Raw genomic sequence first — 27,540 nt, forward strand, 5'->3', positions numbered from 1 at the left:
GTTATATGGCTTCCCTGTGTTTCCTCACAGTTGCAGCTCTGTTCCCTCTCAGTGCTCTGAAAGTGTGGGTTCCTCTCCCTCTTGAGTGCTGGCTATAGTTTGTGACTTGGCACTCCAATGCTAGGCACTGCAGCTCTGGGGCAATCTCAGTGTTTATGCTCCTTCCCCAGCTTAGAGGCAGCAGAGAAAGAAATCCTAGTGGGGATTGTGGCCAAGGGTCCTTCGCTTATTCCTAGAGGCTTCAATCCATAGCGATGCAGGTCAGCAATCACTTAGTGCAGTCAGCCCAAGATGGAGGGTTTGTGCTGTGGGCCCAAGCCAGGCATTCCCTTTCTGGTGATGAGCCATGGAGGGTATGCGGGGCCTAAGGGAGATGGACTGGCCTCCTCTCCTTGGGTCAACTGCAGCTTGTTGGAGGGGTGGATAGGGCACTTAAGGTCTTTGCTCGTTCATTAGTCCAAGGGTGGCAAGGGCAGTTCCACTGTAGAGGCAGTGACCAAGTGGCTGTCAGTTGCCCCTGGGGCCTCTGTCCAGAGAGTTACTGATTTGGTACTGGCTCAGTAGCTCTGGTGGGGGGTGGCTGCAGGTCCAGGCCTGCAGGACCTGCCCAGTGAGGAGATACGGGAATGGGCACCCACGTAACAGTCTGGCCACCTTTCCATAGGGCTGCTGCGGTATGCTTGGGGCCTGTTCCAGTCCCTAGTCACCTCGGATTTTCCAGAACCTGGAGGTGTGTCACCAGTGAAGCCTGCAAAATAGCAAAGATGGCAGCCCGTCCTTCCCTGTGGGAGCTTTGTCCCAGGGAGGTATGGACCTGTTGCTGGACCAAAGGCACCTTCAGGAAGCGGCTGGAGACCCCAGTTGAGAGGTCCCACCCAGTGAGGAAGAATGGGAAAGGCACCCACTTAAAAAAGCAGTCTGGCCACGTTTTGGTAGAGCAGCCATGCTGTGCTAGGGGTCCACTTCAGCCTCCTGTCACCTCACAGACTATGAAGGCCAAAGGCTGGAATGGCTAAGTCACCCAAAGAGCAAAGCACTTTGAAGGCCAAAGGCTGGAATGGCTAAGTCATCCAAACAGCAAAGATGGCATCCCACCCCTCTCTCTGGGAGTACCATCCCAGGGAGAATTCAGATCTCTGTCAGCTAGACAGCTCTAGTGGGGAAGGCTGGAGACCCCAGTTGGGAGATTCTGCCCAGCGAGGAGGATCAGGACCAGGTACCTGCTTAAAGCAGCAGTCTGGCCACATTTTGGTAGAGCAGCTGTGCTGTGCTGGAGGATCCCTTCTGCCCCGGGTCAGCTCAAACTCTCCAAAGCCTGAAGGCTGGAATGGCTAAGGTACCTGAACAGCAAAGATGGCGGCCCGCCCCTTTCCACGGGAGCTCCTTCTTAGTGAGGTGCAATGCCGCCACTGGTAGCTGGCTGGAATTCCAAGCCAGTGGGTCTTATCTTGCGTAGTGCCGTGGAAGTGAGGCTTGTGGGCTGTTGCTGCTCAACCCCAAGGATTCAGCCTTTTTCCTAGGAGTATGTACAGGAGTGTAACTTTTCACTTTGCCAAAGCTGCAGCTACTTTTGCTGGAATGCCTGAGTATCTAAGTCTTCAAAGGCCTCCATGCATGCCCGAGCAGCTGCTTTGCCAGGACTCCATGTAGCTCTGTCTGTCAGACTGAAGACTGAAGGCTCTGGTGGAGTGGGTTTGCAAGGAGATCTCCTGACTTAAGGGTTGCAAAGATCTGTGGGAGAAGTGTAGTTTCCCAGGGTCGTTCATTCACTTACTGCTTCCCTCAGTGGGGGAGGATCCCCTGGCTCCCTGTTGCTCCCAGGTGGGTTGTTGTCCTGTCTTGCTTTTCTTCATTCTCTGTGCGTCAAGTTGTTTCCTTGATTAATCCCAATGTCAGTACCTGGATGTTTCAGTTGAAGGTGTTATATTTATCACTGCTTCTGTTCCTCTCCATGATAGCCACGCACACTAGCTGCTTCTAGTCAGCCATCTTGGCCACTCCTCCCATTTATATATACTTGCTATACATTTATGGCTTTTTTTAAAAATCCTGGATGTGAAACTTTTCTTTTCATTTCACAAGCCTATCTGGCATGCATTAAAGAGCATTGAGAAAGTTAAAATTCACTTCACAGCTGATCCAGAAGAGCTCATAGGGTTCTGTGAGTCACTATGTTTTTGGATAAGGCTATTATTTGGAGCAAAGACAGGAAAAGAAACAATTCCTCTCTAATTGTTGGAGTAATCCTAGAGTAGGGGGTTGAAGACTAATTACCTCTTTGACTTTCTTTTATTTCCTTGACTCACTTATCCCCTGTGAATACGCACAGGGGTTATGTGACCACTATTCATTCGCCAGATCTTAAATACCCAATGCTTAATTATCTTTAGTTCTGATCAAGAAGTGAGACTAAAGGAAATATGTATGTATTAAATCTTCAAACAAAAAAAGTAATCCAATTTCCTTTTAGAACATTTTCTTCTACCAACCTTGGACTAAAGCTGATAATAGAAGCCAAATTGATTAGTTTGAGTAACAAATTGTGTTTCTTGTTCTTATTCTTCTTATGAGGGCACAAAGATAACAAAAGGCAGTTAGCCAGAAGGATGGAAAATTAAAGGATCCTGGATAGTGGATTGGTTCTGATTGAGAGTTCACTTTGCCTCATTTATTGCTGAGATTACTCATCATCTGTGCTTAGCATTATCTTGGATATTTCAAGAGACCATTAAAGTATAGGGTCACAGCATTGAGATTACAGACTCTATAGGAGAAGGAACCAATGTTATTCCTTTTGGTCTTTAGCATAAAAATGCACTCATCACTGTTCAGTAGATATCATTCATTGATTCATTCAACAAAATTTATTGAATGCCTACTATATGCCTAAAACCGTTCTATACATTGGTGAAAGAGTGGTATCTCATATTGAGTCTTGTCCTCATAGTATTTACATTCAAGAAGGGAGAGAAGGAAGACAATAAACAAATAAGCAAGTAAATAAAATAATTTCAGATTGTGATAAATTCTATAAATAAAATAAAACAGGATGATGTAATAGTGACTTGGGAGTGGATAACATTAATTGGAAAAGTTAGGCAAGAGTTTGAAGAGATATTTGAATTGAGAATAAAGACTGAGGAAAACCCTTCTATATAAAAAGGGAAACAACTTTCTAAATAGAGAGAAGAACTACTACAAAAATCCTTAGGAAAAAATGGGCTTGATGTTTTCAAAGAAAGAAATTCAACATGGCTGAAATGTTGATAAGGTAGATGTGTCATGCTGGGCTTTGTAGGATACAGTAAGATATTTGGTTTTGTTGTCAGTTCAGTGGAAAGTCATACAGGAGCACTGCCTCTATGGTAATAATTCTAAATGTTGTAAAGAGGATGGTTTGGAAGGGGCCATGACTATAAGCAGGAAGAAGAGTCCAGAATCTGATAGAAGTCTAAGAAAGAGATGATGCCTTGAACTACAGTGGTGACAATGGAGATAGAGAGAAGTGGGCTTCGAGGTCTGTTTTATAAATAGAACAAACAAAACTTGCTGACTGGCTGAACACGGGGCATGAAGGAAAGACAGAAATCAAGCATGACCATAAATATTTTGGTTTGAGTAACTAGATGGGTAAGGAACATGGGAGGCAGAGCAGGTTTGAGGCTGGTGGTGAGAAAGGATAAAAAATTTTGGTTTTGACATGTTTAACTGGAGATGCCTATCAGAAATCCAAGTGGAAATAGTGAATAGACAGTTGGATATGTGAATATAGATCTCAGGAGACAAGCATGGGCTGAAAAATATAAACTTGTTATCAGGATATGGGTGCTATTTAAAGTCATGTTAATGGACTTACGGCCAGAGTATAGATTCAGAGGAAAAAAGAGCTTAGTAACAAGCCCTTAGATACTTCAACACTTAGAGGTCAGGTAGTGAAAAAGTAGCTGGGTTGGTAAAAGGAATTAGGGTAAATCAGAAATAGCAATAAGAGAAAAACCCAGAGAGTGTGGTGGCATACCAGAAAAGAGAAAGAAGAAAGTATTTCAAGAAATACAGAAAGGTCTACTGTATTAAGAAGTGCTACTGAGGGATCAAATCAGAGGAGGACAGAGCAATTACTATTAGATTTGGCAACATGGAGGTGGTTGATAACCTTGACAAAAGCACTTTCAGCAAAGAGGTGGGAACAGAAGCAAGCCTGAAATAAATTGAAAACTGAAAGAGTGGTGAAGGAGTGTTGAAAATTAGGGTAGACAACTTTCTTTGAGATGTTTTATAATGATAGGCAGCAGAAAAATGAGGCAGTGGCTAAGAGAAAATGTGGAATTAATGGTTTTTATGGAATTCACATCTATATGTTAATAGAAATGATCCAATAGAAAAGAATAAAGTGTAAATGTAGGACAAAACGGAAATTATTGCATGAGTAAAGGCTCTGGGGAGGCAAGAAGAGGAGGAATCCTGAGAACATTTGGAAGGCTGTGTCTTTTATACAAGCAGAGAAAGTTTATTCACAGCAGAGTGTATTAATACAGAGGCAGATAGGTTGGTAAATTTGGTGGTGAGAAGATGAAATAGTTCTCTTCTGATTGTTTCTACTTTATTTGTGAAATAAGAAGTGAGGTTATCTGGGAATAAACAACATGCAGAAGCTGGAGGTTTTAAGGGAGAGAAGATAGTGAAATATTTGTCTCAGAGAGTAGAAAAATAATTAATTAGGGAATTGTAGGATAGGCTGAGCAGTGCTGTTGAACTTCTGGAAATTCTTTATCATAAATTTTAAAGCCTTCAATTCATCTGAGAAACCCAGATCTAGCCTTCCATTGTTCAGTGTACTCCTTGTTCTGAGCATTGCTTCCCTAGATACAGTCTTTATTCTGTAACAATTGGAAAAACTTCATTGGCATTAGGGAGGAGAATGAATAGTGCAACTCCTTTGCCTGTTACTTCAAATACACAGGGCTCCTACTCAGGCTGTTCCACATAGATTAGACGTACCTTCATATCTTCTTGTGCACAACATTTCTGATCTTTGGAATGTTATCAGTGAGTCCCACAAACTTCTCTTCATTTAGTTACTTTTCCCAGCCTGCAGATGATGTTTTGCAATTTGATCATAAATTTAAATGGGAATCTGCTCACTTTCCTACACTTATGTCCTAATGAGCCCCCTTCACATGACTTCATATTTATACTTTGAAATTTGCAAGCTGAACCATGGCTTAATGGTGCATTGGACACAACTGTCCCAGATTCTCACAGCATCCCCCTCACTGTGGCTGTGGAAAAATGGAATCCCTGATTGTGCCTATACAATACTCAAAAGGGTGTGTCAAAGGTTTTTGAAATAAGACATGGAAGTTAAATTTCTTTTGATGAAGAAAGTGGAAGTCACATTGACTATGTTTCTGGAGAACATGGGGAGGCTCAGCTTTGGGTCCGCCAATTGTGACTTCAAAGTAGGGTGACCAGGACAGTCCCAGTATCTGTCTGTTATTATTAATTTTTTAAATTATACTTTAAGTTCTAGGGTACATGTGCACAACGTGCAGGTTTGATACATAGGTATACATGTGCCATGTTGGTTTGCAGCACGCATCAACTCATCATTTACATTAGGTGTTTCTCCTAATGCTATCCCTCCCCCAGCTTCCAACCCCCTAACAGGCCCCAGTGTGTGATGTTCCCTGCCCTGTGTCCAAGTGATCTCATTGTTCAATTCCCACCTATGAGTGGGAACATGTGGTGTTTGGTTTTCTGTCCTTGTGATAGTCTGCTCAGAATGTTGGTTTCCAGCTGCATCTATGTCCCTGCAAAGGACATGAACTCATCCTTTTTTATGGCTGCATAGTATTCCATGGTGTATATGTGCCATATTTTCTTAATTCAGTCTATCACTGATGGACATTTGGATTGGTTCCAAGTCTTTGCTATTGTGAATAGTGCCGCAATAAACATACGTGTGCATGTCTTTGTAGCAGCATGATTTATAATCCTTTGGGTATATACCCAGTAATAGGGTTGCCGGGCCAAACGGTAATTCTAGTTCTAGATCCTTGAGGGATCGCCACACTGTCTTCCACAATGGTTGAACTAATTTACACTCCCACCAACAGTGTAAAAGCATTCCTATTTCTCCGCATCCTCTCCAGCATATGTTGTTTCCTGACTTTTTAATGATTGCCATTCTAACTGGTGTGAAATGGTATCTCATTGAGGTTTTGATTTGCATTTCTCTGATGACCAGTGATGATGAGCATCTTTTCTTCTGTCTGCTGGCTGCATAGATGTCTTCTTTTGAGAAGTGTCTGTTCATATCCTTTGCCCACTTTTTGACGGGGTTGTTTTTTTCTTGTAAATTTGTTTGAGTTCTTTGTAGATTCTGGATATTAGCCCTTTGTCACATGTGTAGATTGTAAAATTTTTCTCCCATTCTGTAGGTTGCCTGTTCACTCTGATGGTAATTCCTTTTGCTGTGCAGAAGCTCTTTAGTTGAATTAGATCCCATTTGTCAATTTTGGCTTTTGTTGCCATTGCTATTGGTGTTTTAGTCATGAAGTCCTTGCCCATGCCTATGTCCTGAATGGTACTGCCTAGGTTTTCTTCTAGGGTTTTTATGGTTTTAGGTCTAACATTTAATCCATCTTGAATTAATTTTTGTATAAGGTGTAAGGAAGGGATCCAGTTTCAGCTTTCTGCATATGGCTAGCCAGTTTTCCCAGCAACATTTATTAAAAAGGGAATCCTTTCCCCATTGCTTGTTTTTGTCAGGTTTGTCAAAGATCAGATGGTTGTCGATGTGTGGTGTTATTTCTGTTCCATTGGTCTATCTCTCTGTTTTGGTACCAGTACCATGCTGTTTTGGTTACTGAAGCCTTGTAGTATAGCTTGAAGTCAGGTAGTGTGATGCCTCCAGCTTTGTTCTTTTGGCTTAGGATTGTCTTGGCAATGCAGGCTCTTTTTTGGTTCCATATGAACTTTAAAGTAGCTTTTTCCAATTCTGTGAAGAAAGTCATTGGTAGCTTGATGGGGATGGCATTGAATCTATAAATTACCTTGGGCAGTATGACCATTTTCACAATATTGATTCTTCCTATCCATGAGCATGGAATATTCTTCCATTTGTTTGCGTCCTCTTTTATTTCTTTGAGCAGTGGTTTGTAGTTCTCCTTGAAGAGGTCCTTCACATCCCTTGTAAGTTGGATTCCTAGGTATTTTATTCTCTTTGTAGCAATCGTGAATGGGAATTCACTCATGATTTGGCTCTCTGTTTGTCTGTTCTTCATCATTTTTTATTGTGTCTATTTGATTCTTCTCCCTTTTCTTCTTTACTAGTCTTGTTAGCGGTCTACCAATTTTGTTGATCTTTTCAAAAAACCAGCTCCTGGATTCACTGGTGTTTTGAAGGTTTTTTTGTGTCTCCATCTCCTTCAGTTCTGCTTGATCTTAGTTATTTCTTGCCGTGTGCTAGCTTTTGAATGTGTTTGCTCTTGCTTCTCTAGTTCTTTTAATTGTAATGTCAGGGTGTCAATTTTAGATCTTTCCTGCTTTCTCTTGTGGACATTTAGTGCTATAAATGTCCCTTTACACACTTCTGCCTGTTATTTTAATGTAAACGTTAACTGCTGCCACTGCCACTCTCATAAGTGTTCTGGTTTGGACAAGAAATTATATGGTCGCCCTACCTCCCGAGTTTGAGATGGTCACTACTTCCAGAGAAACCTGCCTTCACTAACTAGCTGCTGGTTTTTTTTTTCTGTACCCTCATGTGCACATATGAGTGGAGTGCCACACTCTTATAGCCACTACCATCGCCACTCTTTCTGAGACCGGATCTCAAAAATAATCTCACCATTGCCGTTACTCTTTGGCCCTGCCATCTACTTTATAATTTTCTACTCTTTAAGTTTTGCTTAGAACAATTTTCTATATCTACCTAGTTGGATCAAGGACTGGGTTTGGATTAATAAGTTTAAATTCGGTCCAAACTGGTAAAAAAAAAAAAAAAAAAAAAAAAAAGGAGGCACACAGCCATCCCTCTACATTTGGAGACCCTTACTGCTTCCAAAGGAATCCTCCCTAACACATCCACACTGCTGAAGCTAAAGAGTCTGTGTTTAGGTCCCCCAAATCCAAATTTTATATAGGCCTTGTTTCATCCCAACAGATATACTACTCTTTCTTGCCTGATAAGAGAAAGAAGCCTAGACCAATGAAATTAAGTCCACCATGGAAGGAAAGGTGGCCCCTTTAAGAACATGGAATGGTCTGGAACCCTTGATTCTGCCCACTATGACAACAGGAAGCAAAGGTCAGAGGGACTGGCCGTAGGCACATGTGAAGCTTTCTTGCCAATCTTCATTGAACTCACACTTCAAAAGTCATGGTTTTCTCTTTGTTTTATTGTAATTTTCTGTTTTATTATAAAGAAGATTGCAGAAAAGAGGCAGAATAGGAGAGCTGAAAGACAAAAAAAGAGTATCTAAACAACAGAGGACACATACTGGGTCTGTCTTTTTTTTCCTGTTTGTATCGGTTTGTCTTTTCATATAATACTTAACCTCTATCTTACCCTTGATATCATTACCAATCTAAGAATCTCTACCCCTCAAGGGTGGTTGTGGGCATTAGATGAAACTTAGGAGTAGTTCATGGTATATAATTTCACAAACTATTTAATCTTTTTAAATCAAAGGGCAATGAATTATTTTATAGACTGCATCAAATTTCCTCATGGAAAAATAACTGTTATCAAAGTGGCTACGTAAAAATACATTTGATTTCAAAATCAATCAATCAAAATGATCATGTCATAATATGTATATACATAGACATACATACAATACATATTGTATATGTACATACTCTTAACTGGTGTGGCTACAAGAATAGGTTCTGTGTAGATCTTGTTTGGATCCAATATTATATGCCTAATGTCTGTTTTAAATGCCAAATTCTTGCTTCAATGCCCATATTCTTGCAATTTAGTCTTTACTTATGTATTGACTCAGAGTATGGTCTTTAAGTACCAAGTCTTTATCAGTTGATTTGTATGGATTAGTTTCCCTCCAAAACCCTCTAGAATATGTTGTGGCTATTTGATGTTGCAGGTCTCTGTATTCAACCTAAGTATTTGCTGCCTGAGTTATTTTTGTCTTCTGTGTTTCCTCTAGAGATACGTGTTTTTCAAACTATGACAATGGGAAGGGGGATTTAAGTTTAACCCTTTTGGATGGAAAGGTCACTTACTGCTTAGAGTGGTGACTGAAACGTATCTTCAATTTGCACTTACTCTTCAGTGGGCCATTCGATATCCCTATATAGATAGATGATGATGGTGATGAAGACGACAGATAGATAGATAGGCAAACAATAGACAGATAGATAGAAATAGAAAGAGACTTGCTATGTGGTCAATATAATATATAAACATTTTCCCTTTAGCAATTACCTTTATTTGTCATTTCCAAAGATTAGTCCTGGAGCTATCTTGATATTTAAAGATTAGAATGTAGAATTAATGTGAGCTATTATATATTATATTTCAAACTTCCCTAAAATCATGGCTAACCATTTCTTCTCTTCCCTCAAAAAATCAATGTGCAGAATCTCTGGAGCTCATCCCTTCAGAGGGCCCTTCCCAGAAGAACTGTATCTCCACTTCCTCGGTTCTCTGGAATAAATTACAAGTAAGTTACCTTAAAAGAGATGTTAAAGCATGTAAATACTAAAAAGAGAGAAAGCAGAATGTTATTTGGGAATAATTTTAGTAGATAGTTTTATGTACTTATCTTTTGGTAGAAGGTAGGGTTTCAGGGAACAGAACATAGAGATAACAATGTTTCTTACTGTGAATATCTACATAATTGTGATTATATTAGAGCAGAAGATAGCTCTTTTACACATTTCCTGAGAAAAAAGTCAGTACTGACTAAAATTAATCTGTAAGATTTTAAAAATTGTACTTCATTTATTTAAGTATCATAGTAATTTATCAGACATCCTGAGAAAGAACACAGAAAATATTCCTTAACAAGAACCCTAGTTTGAGTGAGAAATAGAATAAAAAGAGAACTGTTTCATTATTTCAGTTTTATGAGAATGCCATTATTTTGTTATGTCTGCTATGTCAATCTAATGTAACTTCTGAATGACTTCATTTATTCGTTTCCCACAGAATATAGTCATAACATTCGATTTCATAACACGTAACACTTTATGATTGAGTTTTTAAAGTATCCTATAATATTTATTTTATTTTTTTTCATTTAAAATAGCCTTATGACTCATGAGTCCAAACAGGACAGTCTTTACGTCTACCCATCTTATGACTGATGTGGCTCTCAAGGAACAATAAAACCTAAGCAAATTATGGGAACAAGCATTTATCAACCACGCAAATGAAGCCATTCTTTGTATGTATTATGCATCTCAATCTCCATATATGGTTATCAACGTAATAATTCAAGTAAAGGTAATATAATAAATACTAAGACCTCACTATAGCAAAATGATATGATAGAATTAGACAAATTATGTCAGGCAGAATTAGACAAACTTCAAGACAAATGTTCAGGAAGTTTAGTTTATATGACTCACTGTCATTACTATTTTATTTTGTAAAATGGGATTAGGAAATATGAACCAAATGTATAGTATATATAATACTTAATACGTATTAACATACCTATATATAAGTATTCATAATGTATATTTAAATTTGAATCTTTAGAAGGAGATTTCAGATCAAATGAAAACTGATTAAATGCCATTAGACTGGTTAACCCAGAGATGAGAAAGGTCTTATGTTTTTGAAGTCATTAAATTACCATAATTTAGCAAGGCAACTGCCATTTTGTGTTTCAGTCCACTTAAATAATACATTAAATAGTACATTGCTCAAGGTAATGTTGAACACTAGCTAATTACTGATCACTAGCTATAAGACATGTTAACAAATAACATAGAATGCAAAGTATTTCCTTGTAGAAGTGTTTAAAAATATCAATCAGAGAAAACAGCAAAACAGATTATCAGCAGAAAGTTATCTTTATGAATTTTCTTGATAAGTGCAATGAATTATAGAAAAATGGAGCTAGTTCACCAAAAATGGATAACTGGTATTTGTTAACATAATAAGTTGTGGTTCTTTTGAGAGGGGGACATTTTTGGTTGACCGCATAGCAAAATAACATTCCTCCAAAAAACCGCACTGTGAATTAATGAGTGACCTCACAGTGATAAATTAAGGAAACACAGATTTGTAGTTTTAAGGATTTTGATTATGCAGTAAGACAAAATGCCAGCTGTGTGATTGAATAAAAACAGGTTTTTCTAATGTACTTAGCATATATTAGGAAAGATATATCATCTATGAGGACAAGTGATGAAAGATAGAACTGAAAAAAAAGAACTTTCATGAGACATGTAAAATCATTAAGAGAATTAAATAAGAGAGAATGGCACTGAACTCATTTTGGGTCAATACATGTGGAAACTCAAAAAGAGAAAACCTCAGTAAGAAAAGAGGAAAGGGTAATATTGAGAATATAGAGGGGAAGCTGGCCGGTCTTAAATGTAGGTGGCTTCAGAATCAGTTTTGATCTGTGTATTAGTTCCCTATTGCTGCATAACAAATTATCAGACTTGTCAACTTATAAAAACACATACTTATTATCTCACAGTTTCTGTGTGTCTTAGTCCATTTTGTGTTACTATAAAAAACCCTGGGGCTGAGTAATTTATAAAAATGAAAAGTTTATTTGTCTCATGGTTCTGCAGGCTGTACAAGAAACATGGCACCAACATCTATTTCTGGTGAGGGCTTTAGGCTGCTTCCACTCATGGTAGAAGGCAAAAAGGAGCTGGCATGTGCAGAGATCACGTAGCAAGAGAGGATACAAGGAGATTTCCAGGCTCTTTTTAACAGTCAGCTCTCATGAGAAGTAATAGAGGAAGAAGTCACTTACTACTGAGAGAGTGGCTCCAAGCCATTCATAAGGAATCAACCACCATGACACACTAGGCCTCACCTCCAAAACTGGGAATCACATTTCAACATGAGATTTGGAAGGGTCAAATATCCAAACTATAGCATTCTACCCCTGAACGCCTAAGTATCATGTCCTTCTCACAAGCAAAATACAATAATTTTATCCCAATAGTTCCCGAAAACTTTAACTTGTTCCAGCATCGACTCAGAAATCTAAAGTTCAAAGTCCTATCTGAGACTCAAGGCAATTTACTTACAACTGTGAGCCTGTATAATTAAAAAACAAGTTATTTAACTCCAAGGCACAATGGTGGTACAGGCATTCAGTAAATATTCCCATTCCAAAAGGGAGAAATTAGCCAAAAGAAAGGGGGAATAAGCCCTACACAATTCCAAAACCCAGCAGAGCAGACATCAAATCTTAAAGCTCCAAGATAATCTACTTTGACTCCATGTCTTGCATCCTGGGCACACTGGTAGGCAGGGTGGGCTGTGAAGACCTCAAGAAGCTCCACTCCCATGGTTCTGCTAGGTGCACCCACGTGGCTGCTCTCATGGGTTGCAGTCCAATGCTTACAGTTTTACGAGGCTGCAGTCGCACACTTCCAGGGGCTCTATAATTCTGGAGTCTGGAGGGTGGTAGCACTGCCCTAGTAGGCACCAGTTGTGGGGACTCCAACCCCTATTGCATTCTGAGCACCTGTGGATATAACACCATATGCATGCCACCAAGGCTTACAGCTTGCGTCCTCTGGAGCAGTAGCTTGAGCAGTACCTGGGGCCCTTTGAGCCACAGCTGGAGCCGAAGTGGTGGGGATGTAGGAAGGAACATCCTGAGACAGCACAGGACAGCAGAACCTGGGCCTGGCTCCCAAAACCATTCTGTCTTCTTAGGTCTCTGGGCCTGTGATTGGGCCTTTTACCCATAGTCTTGACTATTAGCGCCTGGCTTCCATTTAGTCATGGTAATCTCTTTAGCAAGTGGTAGTTCCACAACATCCTTGGATTCCTCTCCTGAAAACACTCTTTTCTTCTCTATCACATGGCCAGGCTGCAAATTTTCCAGACTTTTACACTCTGCTTCCTTTCTAATCATAAATTTCAACTTTAGGTCATCCCTTTACTCCCAGATAATATTGTAAGTTGTTAAAAGTAGTCATGCCACTCTTGAATGCCTTGCTACTTAGAAATTTCTTTCACCAGATACCCTAGGTCATCACTCTTAAGTTCAGCCTTCCACAAAGCCCTAGGGCATGGACACAATGCAGCCAAGTTCTTTGCTACAGTGTCACAATGACCTTTCTCCAGTTACCATTAAGTTGCTCATTTCCATTTGAGACCTCATCAGCATGGCCTTTACTGTCTATATTTCTATGAGCATTTTGCTCACAACCACAACGAATCTCTAAGAAGTTCCAAACTTTCACCTGTCTCCCAGTCTTCTTCTGAGTGCTCCAAACTTTTCTAACTTCTGCCCATTAGCCAGTTCCCAAGCTGCTTTCACATTTTCAGGTATCTTTATAGCAATGCCCCACCCTTGGTACCAACTTTCTGTCTTGGTCTGTTTTTGTTTTGCTATAAAGGAATACCTAATGCTAGGTAATATTAAGAAAAGAGGTTTACTTGGCTCATGATTCTGCAGGCTAGATGACCGGGAGTCTGGTGAAAGCCTCAATCTGTTTCCACTAATGGCAGAAAATGAAGGAAAGCTGGCATGTACATAAATCACATGGTGAGAAAGGAAGCAAGAGCAGGGAGGTGACAGGCTCTTTTTAACAGCCAGCCCTCATGGGAATTAATGGACTGAGAACTCACTACTGAGAGAATGGCACCAAATCATTCATGAGGAATCTGCCCCCATGACCCAAACACTTCCCACTAGGCCCCACCTCCAACACTGGAGATCAAATTTCAACATGAGATTTGGAGGGGTCAGTTATCCAAACTATAGCACCATGAATCAGGAGTCTGAATATGGCTTATCTGGGTCCTCCACTCAGGGTCTTTCAATGCTGTGATCAAGGTGTCAAGCAGACTGCATTCTCATCTGGAGTTTGGGTCCTCTCCCAAGCTCATGCATTTGTTGGGAGAATCCACTTCCTTGCAACTATAGAACTTCATTCTCTTTCCTACCCTTTTCCTTGCTAGCTGTCATCTAAAGGCCACTGTCAGCTCCTAGAAGCCACTTGCAGTTGCTACAGGGCCCTCTGATAGACCCTCTCACAATATTGCAGTTTATCTCTTCAAGGCCAGCAGAAGAATGGCTAGCTCCATTCTGCTAGGATGGAGTCCTAAATAACAATGTATTCAAGAGAGTAACTATTGTATTGATATTCCCTATCATTTTCTCCATATTGGCCAGATGCAAGTCACAGGTTCTTCCTATGCTCCAGAGAAGGGGTTTATGCAATCGATGTAGCTCATTGAGGGCGTCATTCAATGTGTGTGTCCACATAATCAACAATTTACCCTTTAAAGAGGACTAAAATTGAATAGCTCAGCTTTTTCCTAGAAGACTAGGTGAACAGGGGAAAAATGGTGACCCTTAAAGGTTATAGAAAGCCTGGGTCAGATAATCTTTTAAAACTGAATGAAACTAATTGAGGAATGTAACTTTTTCATTCATTCAACCAATTCGTTAAACCTACTGGTGCCTAGTATGTGCCAAGACCTGTGGTATTTAAACAATGATGAAAAACGTTATTGTCTTGACCTATGGAACTATACTATAGTGTAGGGAAACATACATTAAACAGGTGAATATGTATATAATTAAAAATTGTGATAAGTACTACAAAATAAAAGCTCAGAGGGTAGTGAGAGAGAATGACAAGGGTGATGCAATCACCTGTGGTGCAGTGTGTGTATCAGTATTACCCTTAATTATAGCCACCAAAAGCAAAGCAATATTGGTACAAGAGGTGGATAAGAGACTCAAAAAAGAAGTGAGTCAGAGCTGTTTTTTGTAGCTACCTCAGTCAAAAAGTAGTGGTAGTAATTTCCAAGAAGTAGGGGCAGGATTGGAGGTGGAAGAGGCAAAATAAGACAAAAAGTTGAAGTGACATGGATATTGATAAGGGAAAGATAGTGCCCAAGACAAGAAAGAATGTGCCTAAAGTTCCTTAGGAAAAGCCGTGGAAAAGGTTCATCTCAGTCTCTGCTAACAAATTAAACTTTTCCCCAACAAAGCTCTCACTGTACTTTTATTTCAAGGATACATGGTAACCAAGCTCAGCATTCTGTTAAAGCACATTGTTAAAGTTGCTCTCACTGAGTGTCCCAGTAATATGTTAGATATCAAATCCAAAAGCCTATTTTAAGACTTCACCTTATCTGATCTCTCTATAGATATTTGATACTTAATGTTTCCTGAACACTTTCAGGCTAATACTCTCCTAGTGGTCTGCCTATCTCTCTGACTATAATTCCCCAAACTCCTTCTGAAACACCTTCTAATCTCTAATCAGAGGCAGTGCCTGCCACAAAATGGTGGGCAACAAATATATATATTTTAAAGTTTTGAACCATTCTTGTATGAATGGAGAAGATAGCCAGTATAATGTTTTTCAGTAAATATAAAAAATTCTCACCATTATCCTAAGCAAACTAATGCAGGAATATAAAAACAAATACTGCATGTTCTCACTTATAAGTGGGAAGTAAACAATGAGACCTCATGGACACAAGGAGGGGAACAACAGACACTGGGGATCACTTTAGAGTGGAGAGTAGAAGGGAGAAGATAAAAAAAAAACCCCACCAATTGGGTACTATGCTTATTACCTGGGTGACAAAATAATCTGTACACCAAATCGCTGTAACACACAGTTTACCTATATAACAAACCTTCACATATAACCCTGAACTTAAAATAAAACTTAAAAAAATAAAATATTCCATTCAGTTAAAAAAAAATCTTAAAATAAAGGCCTACAGATTCATACTTTCTCAGATCTGTTTTAAAATGACATTTTTAAATGTTCAGGGACATGTTTCCTTATGGTCCCTGGAATAGAAAAGTAAATTTATGAATGGAGATTTTTAATTGCCAAAAAGTAACATGTTATGCTGGGGAAATTAAGTTTTAGCATGAACCTCTATCATAAAACAATTCTATGCCGAGACGAAACTCTGCTTATGTGACATAAATAATGTTATGATAACATATGCTGTGAAAACAATTAGTCATGTATTTTAAAATGTGTGCATATGATCATACAAAAAAGACAAATGGAATATTTCATAAAAGCAACAAATTTAATTTTGTGTTAGTACAGTACTAACATTCACAATTGTGCAATACTAGAGTATGGACCTTGGTACTATAGTATGATAAAAAAAAGAAATACTTGCTTTTCTTATGTAAATTTTCTCCTGTAATGTTTGCTTTTTACTTTAGTATGGAAACTGGATTGCCCAATATCTAAACCAGTATGAAGGAACTATTTTACAAGTATTTAATGGTTATTTGAAAGCAGCCAGGAATTATTTTACTAAAATAAGATATTTTCATGTGTTGTTTTAAATCACTACAGATTTCTGAGAGTGATTAAATAGATTTCTAAAATAACTAAACATAAGCATATCTGAATGAGAATAAAAATTGTATTAAATGCCATTTAATTACATTCGATATTTTTCACTTATTTGCAGAGTTTTTCTACACCAGGAGTTCCAAAATCAAGCTACATTCAAAGAGAGAAACAACACATTGGATACTCAAGTTATGAACCGTGAGAAGAGTCAGAAATTCCTTATAGGATAGAACATGTGCAATTGAAATCTAATATTAAGTTTTCTGTGGAAAAACACATATATGTGTACTATATGGCTATCTGATCATTTTAAAAACATACTCAGAATACTTTAATAAAACACTGTGAGTATGAATTATCTATGCTTTAAACACTTTACTTCTCTTTCTGCATTTATGCCATCACTTCTTATCTCTTCATACCTTGAACTTTTTCTTTTCCCCCTCTCTCACTCTATGACTCCTGAACAAAACTGTCATTTCCAATATCTAACTTCATTAACTAAGTAGGGATGGCAGATGTTTATTATCACCAAAATGCAGCATAACATTTGCAAACTGGTTTATGACATGCATCTTTATAAAGTGCTCAGTGAAATGCATAAACGATTGATTGAAAATTGGTCAAAGAGAATATTGAGTACTTTATTAGTTACTGGCTAAAGCTAAGGAGTTACAGAAAAGCATCATATCTAAATAAGGAGTTTTATTTGAAATATGTAATTTCATTATGAATAAATTCCATAAAATAAACTAAGAATTGCTAAATGATTTCTGTAAACTGATTGGTGCTGTAGAATGATCCCATAACCTGGGCCCCTGACTCCTTCTTTCCTTTCTTCCTTCATTCCTTCTTCTCTTCCTTTATCCCTCCTTTATTTAAAGGGTACTCAGAGTGGAGCAAGATGGTGGAATAGAAGGCTCCACCAATCGCTGCACATTACCCCCAGCAAGGACACCAATTTAACAACTATCTACACAGAAAAAAACACCCATATAAGAACCGAAATTCAGGTGAGCCCTCATAGTACCTGGTTTTTAACTCCATGTTACTGAAAGAAATACTGAAGAGATAGAAAAAAAAAAAAAAACACCTTGAATCACTGACACTACCTCTCCCCAACTCCCCAGCAGCAGTGTGGAGTGGAGCATCTCTGGGCATTGGGGAAGGGACAGCACAACAATTGTGAGGCATCAAACTCAGTGCTGTCCTGTTAAAGCAGAAAGGAAAACAGAATAAAACTCAGCTGACACCCACCCACAGAGGGAGCATTTAAACCAGTCCTAGCCAGAGGGGAATCTTGTATCCCAATGGGTGGAACTTGAGTTCGTGCAGACCTTGCCACCCAGGGCCAAAGTGCTCTGGATTTCAAAGCAAACTTGATAGGCAGTCTAGGCCACAGGGACTACAACTCTTAAGTCCTAGTGCTGAACTGGGCCCAGAAACAGTGGTCTGAGGGCGCATATGACCTGCTGAGACATCAGTGGGAGCAGCTAAGGGAGTGCTGGCATCATCCCTCCCCTAAACTCTCCGCTGTACAGCTTGTGGCTCCAAAAGAGACCCCTTTCTTCCTCTTGAGGTGAAGAGAGGGAAGAATGTAGAGGACTTTGTCTTGCATTTTGGATACCAGCTCAGCCACAGCAGCATAGGGCACCGATCAGAGTCATAAGGACCCTGTTCCAGGCCCTAGCTCCCAGGCAGCACTTCTGTGTTAAAAAAAAAAAAAAAAAAAAAAAAAAAAAAAAAAAAAAAAAAACTCTCCTGGATCTAAGATGCATCACACAGTGTCCTACATGATCTGTCAACTATTGGTCCTGTTCTTCAGTCATCTCTCCTTAATTCCCTGGGGTGGAGAAGGGGAAATTAGGAAAAGAAAAAAGAGAAAAAGAAATTAAGTGAGAGAAAAAGAAATTAAGTGCTCACCAGTCACTGTCCCTTCTACTTCCTAAATAGATCTCAAATATGTCCCCTCTCCTACCATTATCTCTATTCATTCTGACACTATCATCGTCTGAAATACCACCACCTTTTCCCTGGACAATTGTAACTGACACCCAGTTGGTCCCCCCATATCTTACACTTGCCTCAGTCCAATCCTATTGCCACAGTACAGCTACGGTAATATTTTAATATACATGCCTAGTCTTGTTATATTTCTCCTTAAACCTCTTCAATAGCTTCCAATTACCTTAGAATAAAATTGCAAGTTCTCACCATGGATCACAAGGCACTCTAAGACCCCAAGATATCGGGTCTCTGTCACTCTGTCTTTCTGTCTCTATCTATATTTACATCCATATCTACATCTATATCATGTATGTGTTTGTGTGTTACTGTGTGATATTCATAAGAATACTTACTATGATGTAAGCACACAATACTTTACATGCAATCTTATGCCATCCTCCCATCACTATGAGGTAGGTACTGTTATTTTTCCCATGTACAAATGAGGAAATCGAGGCTTTAGGTAGTTTAGTAACTTGTGCAAAGCCCCATAATTAGTGTCAGAGCCCAGGATTCAAACACAATCAGCCTGATTCAAAACTCTGTAACTAGGAACAGTATATTTTTTTCCAATTTCTTCACTTACTTCACTTACCACTCTCCATCTTGCTATGTGCTCTAGTCATACTTGACTTTTGGTTTCTCTTTTAGAGCCTTCCTGCATGTCATTTCTCTCTGCCTGGATAACCTGATTATAAATAAGTCTTTGGAATTCAGACACTTCTATGGAAGATGTGGCTATCCCAGAAAAAAACCTCTAAGTTAGGCTGCCCATGAAAGAGTTCCTGGTTGGTTGAAAGTTTTCTGTGAATGTCACATAGTCCAGAATAGAAACAAGCTTCCAGTTGTTGAAAGACTCCTTTATTTATACTGAGAATCATGTAGGGCCAGACCCTGGGTGGTAGGACTTCTGTAGGTGTTTAATACAACACAAGACCAAGCTCTAACTGGCTCCTATCAGTCTAAGCAGGAATAGACATTGAGTGTTCAGAGTTTTAGCCTCTTGATGCTGAGGCTGGCCTAAGAACAGGGTCTGGGTGGTTAGAGATTTTGTCTGTATGCACTGAAAACTTCATAAATTGTCAGAGGCTGCTATTGTAAGTTCTAGAGTCAGAGTAGGAGAAGACCAAGGATGGTCAAAGGCATAGTTATATATAGGAGATAATCTAGCACAGTGGTTAACAGCTTAAACAACTCTGTAGTGAGCCTGCTGCATTGAAATTCCAGATTCCACACTTCCTAGCTGTGGGACATTGGGCAAATGACTTATCCTTTATCTCTGTTTCATCTTCTCTAAAGTGAGAATAACAGTCTGTACTCCATAGGGCTGTTATGAGGATTAAATAAGACATGTAAAACACTTGAGACAGTGCCCAGCAAATAGTGATTAGTCAAGAAATCATAACTATTATCTGCTATAGCCTAGTACAGGAATAAGGCTAAAGTGGACAAAGGTTTCTTCCGTAGGTGCTCTCTGCACTCCAGGGAACAAATCTTATGTTTGAACTTATAGTCTATGTTTGAATATACCTGTCTTACCTGACTTTTCCAAACTTTGCCCAATATACATATATATTTGAAATATATATATTTTGAGAAAGAGAGAGAAAGAATTTATTCTTTCCAATCCTGTCTACTCTGATGTATGCCACCTGGACTGCCTGATCTAACCACCTAATTACAATCAGGTCTGTTTGTTGATTCCTACATCTATCTCATAGTGACAAAGGTAATTTTGATTTTAATTGCTTCCTGCTAAGCTCAAAGATGTGTTTGGTTTGCCTTTCTGACACTGCCAAGCAACAATCATAAGTCCTTACATCCTTTGCTTCTTACAAGTAGAGGAGAGTGACAAAAGGTAGTAGCAAAGATAACAATATGCTAAGATGGTAGGTACTCCCATAAATAGGTTCTTCTCCACTAGGAGAGAATCTTTTTACTGAATTCTTAAAAAATGAAATATTCCACTTGGTATTACTCTTCTAACTAGAAGTCTCTAGTAGCTAAGATTATACGTTTATACACAGTAACTTTTCTTTTAGAATGGCCTTGATATAACTACAATGTTATAGTCTTATACACAAAGTTGTTCGAGCTGTTTTCTGAAGGAATATTCATCCCTTCTGAGATTTTTAACAGTTTCAGAGGAATTTTCCCTCTTTCTTCTATGGCTAAGCTTTTATTTTAATAGATGTTTTCAGCATATTGTATATTTAGTTATGACTGGCCTAGTAGTATGTGTCCAAAGTTTGTGCTTTTATATCATCTGGTTGAGATACTGTCACAGTAAGAATGTTTTGTTAGGAATTATCCCATTTCCTTTATCACAAAGTTTTTGCTACTGACACTTGTAATTTAGAGACTTGGTAGTGTTGGGTAAGTGCCTGGCTGCGAATTTCATTAGACTGGAAAAAGGATATGAGTATGGCAGAATTTTTTTTCTCATATGACCTCAAAAAAGATATTAGTTAAGGCCAAGAGAAGACAGAAGATATGATAGAGCCAAGAAGAAAGATGAAGTCAAGTTTTCAGTTTCTGTCTCTAAAGTGAAGGGGTTAGATTAGATGACCTCTTGGTTCCCTTCCAGAAATGATATTGCATCATCCGAATCCTGGATGATGAGCCAAGATAAGAAGCCTAGGTCCAGAAAGTGGGTCAGATCTAGGAGGACAATTAGCAGAGACCAGAAACCCAGGCTTGCTGACTGGGAACAAAAATCCTAGACCAAAGTCAAGGCCACAAAAGGTTGCTATGTAATTATGGGATCCGTGTGATAGGCATAGGGATCAGCAGCAAGAGAGAAGCCTGGTACTGTGCCAAACTCCTTTACAGGCAGGAGCTTTCCACAGGTTTCCTGCCCAGAGTAACTCAGAATAGTTTTCAACATGTGTGCAAGGCTTGAACCTATAGAGACAAAAATAGGAGTGACTGAAGTAATGGACTAGGGGAGCAGGGAAAAAAATACTTCTAGATAATGACCATCAGAGCAATTATTTTTGTCAGGAGTTGAGGAGGAGATCAAAAGGAACACTCCTAGTTCCGATAAGTGGCAAAGGAAGACCTTGAATTCAGATCTGACTCTAATGTCAGTGCTCTTAACTATTGTATTAGTTTCCTGTGGCTGCCATAACAAATTACCACAAATTGGGTTACATAAAACAGCAGCTATTTATTCTCTCACGGTTCTGGAGGCCAGAAGTTTTAAATCAAGGTGTCAGCAGGGTCACGCTCCCTCCAGAGGCTCTAGGGGAAAATCCATTCCTTACCTCTTCCAACTTCTGATGGCTTCGGTATTTCTTGGCTTGTAGCCACACCACTGTGATCTCTGCCTCCCTTTTCACATCATCTTCTCCTCTGTGTGTGTCTATGTCTCCTCTTCTGCCTGTATCTTAACAGATAAGCAAGATCTTTATTTAACTTAATCACATATTTTGTCACATAAGTAATGTTTACAGATCCCAGGAATTAGAGCATGGACATATCTTTTTGAGGACCACCATTCAGCCTACTATTATTCCTATGATAAAATTTTTTTCTATTCAGCTTCTTTCATTCTGAGACATTGACATTTTAGCAGGCACTATTAATTTCATCACAAATATCCCTTTAATCTTTACTAACAGAATTCAAATTTTGTTTGAAATATCTAAGCTTGTTCCTTTTTTACAGACTCCATTGCCACTAGTTCTGGTCAATGAGATTGAAGGGGAAGTGTGATAGTGAGAGGATTTCAGGAAAGTTTTTGCCTTTCTGATAAGAGGAGATGGACTTACCCTTTAAGTCCCTGGTCCTTCCACTATATTCAGCAATTCCACTCATGAGTATATATCAAAAAAAAAAAAAAAAAAGAGGAAAACTTACATTCCCACAAAAACCTGCACTGTATACAAATAGAAGATTTCTTTGTAACAGCCAAAAACTGGAAAGGAGACACTTTTCCTTCAACTAGTGAATGAATAAACAAACCATGAAACATCCATACAATGTAACACTGCTCAACAATAAAAAGAATGAGCTATACATACATACAACAACCTGAATGGATCCCCAAAGATTATGCTAAGTGAAAAAAAGACAATCCCCAAAGGTTCCATACTGTAACTCCATTTTTATAATACTTTGAAATGACTAAATTTTAGACAAAGAGGACAGATTAGTGGTTGTCAGAGATTGAGTTAGGGGGGTGGGAGAAAAGTAGGTGTGGTTACAAAAGGACAACAAAACGGATCCTTGCAGTGATGAAATTGTTCTGTATCTTGACTGTGGTAGTGGATACATGAACTTACACATATAACATTTTATAGAACAAATACACACACACAACTACAGATAAAACTAGGGAAATTGGAATAACATGGGTGAATTGTGTCAATGTCAATCTTACTGTAATACTGAATTAAAGTTCTACAAGATGTTCCATTGGGGGAAACCGGGTAAATGGTACATGGAATATTTCTGTATCATGTCTTACAACTGCATGTGAATCCACACTATCCCAGTAAAAATTCAACAAAAATTAAATGTCAAGATGATGATATATTTATGGAGTACTAAGGAATACAACAGGAGGAAGTCCCTAAATTTTCCTTAAATATGCAAAGGCAGAAAGACTGCATGGAAGAGATACTTAAGCTAAGTCGTGAAGAATGAGTAGAAGCATTCTGGATAGATGGGGGATGGATGGGAGATAAACCAGGAAGAGGGATCAGCAGGCAAAGAGATATAAGAGAACATGGTGTACTGAGGGAACTTCAAGTAATTCAAGTATGGCTGAAGCACAAAGTTCATATGCAAGAAATATCTCTTTTTCTCTGACGTTCTCCTTTAGTGGTAGTCAAAAGAGATTTCTGGCATTCAACCCTATGATACACAGGAATCAAAAAGGAATCCAGAGCCCCTTGTGCTCCAGGAATTAGGAGGGAGCTATCCCCTGTTCCCTGGTCTTGATCTTTTTATTACATGAATGAAGAACTGGCCTCATAGCTTTCTGCATTCCTTGCAGGACCCTCATCTCTCTCTCCCCCAACCCCCACACTCATAGTCTCACAACCATTACCTGCTTTGATATTACTAGAATTATATAATTATGTCCTTTATCTCTGTTTACTTCAGTCAACTAAAGAAGTCCAGAAATCCCAAATCCCTACACTTTATTCCCCATGCAACTCTGCACATTATTTTTTGACCCTATTTCCCACCCTTCCCCATTTCCTGAAACTCTCCTGCAGTGTCTACTAGAACTTACAGTCCATCACCAGAAAAAATATTTATATCCTTAACCTCTTTTCCAAATATTCCTTTCACCTACTTGCTCTAAGAACTCTAGCTTTCCAATGAAGACACTGCTTCCCCTAAAGCCCAAATGGCAACTGCTTTCTTTCCCGTATTCCTCAAATCAATGGTCCTAAAGTTGGGTTAGATGTCCTATTTGCACCTCATTACCACTTCCAGGCCATTATCCTTCTGTCTTCCTTAAACGCCCCCTAGCTTTGAATTTCAAGTCATTCAGTCATTTAGTTGTTCATTCATAAAGCAATCATGTACTGAACACTCTACTATATGCCAGTTATTATTCTAAGGGTTAGGGATACAATGATAAAACTGGACAAAATTCCCTGTCCACATGGAGCTTATATTTTACTGTTCCTTCTTATTGAGTTATACTACTCATTACTTGAGGAGTTTAGGTTCTGGCCTAGTGACTGTCATAATACTTGGTGATCAATATATATTAATAAATGTTCAGATTTATTGGGTTCTCATTTCCTTGATCTCCTCTCTTCCAGAGAGCTATCCACCACTTTTCCTCAGCCACTCTTATATTCATTCCCTGTCTATAATCTCAATTTTAAACATTCCACTATCTAATCAGCACCTTTCATCTCTCCAGCACACTCCTTTTAGCACCCTGGCTTTTATAATTCTTCAACCTTTATAAGATATGCATTCTTTGGACCCTATCAGCTTTTTACAGTAACTTATCATTCTCATGTCCACTTTCCCCTCTACCTACTGCAGATTCCATAATCACTCCCTTGTATATGTCCTGAATATTCTTGCCTTTTTCTTGCTTGAGTTCAGCTGCCAAAACCAAAGCCTGCTTAAAGCCAGTCCTTTCCCTACTTTAACCTACCTCCATACAGGTGAAGGTGATTTTTAAAAAGCATACAACCACACTTATTGGTCTTAGTTAAATTCTTGACCACGAACCTCATCTGTGCTCTTATTGCTACCTAGCAATCATACTGAATCTCTCTAGTCCAATCATGTTGCCTCTCATTTAGATGTCTATTTCACACCTTCTCTTCCTAAAATCTCTAATATTTCCTATCTCTCTTCATTCTACCTGATACCCTTACTTACTACTTCACTGAGAAAATTAAAGCAATCCAAACAAAACTTTGAACTGCACAAAAGTATAACTTAAAAGAAGAGAGGAAATGCTTCTCTTTTTACAAATATTCCTGCTAATTCCAGAAACACCCAATCAATTAATAGATCTAAACAAAAATTATCAATGGCTGCTAACATCCCAACAAGGGAAACAACTGGACATTATGTGCCTCTTGATAGAAGTATACACCACCATTTATAAAGTATTCTTGCAAACGTTATATCCAGATCTCATCAAACCTCTGAATGAGGAATTACAGAGAACAGAAGAACATGTTGAAAGTCACCAAGGGGATGCAATCGCAAAATACAGACTGTGGGGGACTCTACAGGACAAATGGTTCGGTTTTATCAAGAAATAAACTGGGTAATGTAGATGAAAAGAGCATCTATAGATTAAAAGTGACATAAGAGACACATCAATCAATCACAATACATGGTCTTTATGTGGGCTACAATTCAAACAAACATAAAAAGACAACTGGGGAATTTGGAACATGGTCTGGACATATAATAATATTAAGGAATTATTGTTAATATTTTAGGTATGGTGATGTGGTTATATTTTTTAAAGCACCATCTTTTAGAGGCATATAATAAAATACTTAGAGTTGTAATAATATGATACATGGGATTTACTTCAAAATAATCTGGGGAGGGGAAAGAGTGTAGAGGGGGCTATAGAACAAAATATAGGTCATGAACAGATAATTGTTAAAGTTGGGTGATGAGAGCATGGACGTTCATTAATCTATTAGGTTCATTAATCTATTCTCTACTTTCATAAATTTTTGGAACTTCCATAATGATGAATTTCTTAAAGGAGAGATTTTCTACAAGCATCAGAAGATAACTTCCAACTGACCTAACTGCAAGAATGCACGCATATCCTGCCTCTGCTCTTGTCATTATCCATACTCCTAAGTAAGGCAGACTCCTTCATTTGTGTACTAGAACACATACCTTCTCCCTATTCAAAGATGTCATTCCAGTAATTTTTTTCTTATCTGCCCTATTAATTTCCCCTTCTCTACTGGATCAGTTCCAATCAGCATAGAAATGTGCTATAATTTCTCACATTTAAAAAAAATGTCTATTGATGTCCCTGTAGCCCCCTCTAGCTATTGCCCAATTTCTCTGCCTCCTTTAGAAGAAAATCCCTCAAAGGAGTTTTCTTGATTTCTAGTTTCCAATTCCATTCATCCCATTCTTTATAGAACTCATTACAACTAGGCTTTCACACCTACCACTCCACTGAAATTGCTCTTGTCAAGGTCACCAATGACCTCAATGTTGCAAAATCCAATGGTCAATTCTCAGTCCCCATCTTCTTTGAACTATCAGTACATTCCATGCAACTGGTCACTTCTTTAGGCTTCCAAAACATCATACTCTCCTAGTTTTCCTCCTGCCTTGTTGTTCTCTTCTTCTCAGTGTTATTTGCTGGTTTATTCTCATTTTTATGATTTCTAACAATTCTCCAGAGTTCAGTCCTTCTCTTCTAAATATACACTCTTTCTTGATGATCTCCAAATTTTGTATTTCAATCCTGGACTTCTCCCCTGAAATCCAACTCAACTTGAATATTTAACAAACATCGTGAACTTAGATCCACAGCTGAACTCACTAAAAATTTGCTCCACTTTTATAGACTTCCCCATTTCAGATGGCAGCAACTCCATCCTTCCTCTTGCTCAGGCTGAAAACTTTGGAGTCATCTTTGACTTTTCTCTTTATCTCTACTCCACATCCAATCTACCAGTGAAATGCTAAATAGAATTTTTCAAGTCACAATGAAAAGGCACTAAACTGAAACAGGAAAGACACTGGATCATTAATAAACTACTCCCAGCAAAGAGAAGTCCAGGACCAAATGCCTTCACTGGTGAATTCTACCAAACATCTAAAAAAAGAATTAACACCAATCCTTCTCATACTTTCAAAAAACAGAAGAGGAGGAAATACTTCCAAATTCATGTTATGAGGCTAGCATTACCCTGATACCAGAGACATACAAAGATACTCTGAGAAAAGAAAACTGAAGAGCAATTAATCCTTGATTAACAAAGAGGCAAAAATTCTCAACAAAATACTAGCAAACCAAATTCAATAGCATATTAAAAGTATCATACACCACAACTAAGTGGGATTCATCCCTCATATGCAAGGATGGTTAATATATGCAAATCTCTTAATGTAATATAACACATTAACATAAGTATAAAAACCACATTATAATCTCAATAGAAGCAGGAAAAGCATTTGACAGAATTCAACACCCATTCAGAATTAAAAAAAAAGTCTCAACAGATCAGTTATAGAAGAAATTTACCTTGACATAATCTCATATCTAGAAAACTGTAAAGACTCCACAAAACAATTGTTTGAACTAATAAACTGATTCAGTAAAGTTGTGGGATACAGATTTAACATACAAAAACTGTTGTGTTTATATACAGTAACAATGAACTATTAGAAAAGGAAATAATTCCAATTACAATAGCGTCTAAAAGAATAAAATACTTGAATACAAACTTAAAGTAGGCGAAAGACTTCTAAACTGAAAACTTCAAAACACTGATGAAAAAATTAAAGACACAAATATATAGAAAG

General features: G+C 38.4%; 1 protein-coding gene and 1 long non-coding RNA gene across 3 annotated transcripts in view; one reads left to right on the forward strand and one right to left on the reverse strand.

Moving 5' to 3' along the window:
- The window catches only part of SATL1 (spermidine/spermine N1-acetyl transferase like 1), a 151,496-nt gene that overhangs the window by 110,121 nt on the left and 13,835 nt on the right, over positions 1-27,540 (reverse strand). For both annotated transcript variants that reach the window (NM_001367857.2, NM_001367858.2), the window contains exon 2: positions 21,801-21,922. The gene's annotated coding sequence lies outside the window, so the exon portion shown is untranslated. The remainder of the gene's footprint in view (positions 1-21,800; positions 21,923-27,540) is intronic.
- On the forward strand, positions 8,302-16,885 carry LOC101928128 (uncharacterized). The gene is made up of 4 exons (NR_110651.1): positions 8,302-8,507; positions 9,607-9,689; positions 10,278-10,474; positions 16,646-16,885. It is a non-coding gene; the product is annotated as an uncharacterized LOC101928128 (long non-coding RNA).

The sequence above is a fragment of the Homo sapiens genome, chromosome X, assembly GCF_000001405.40.
Source record: "Homo sapiens chromosome X, GRCh38.p14 Primary Assembly".
Taxonomy (NCBI): Eukaryota; Metazoa; Chordata; class Mammalia; order Primates; family Hominidae; genus Homo; species Homo sapiens.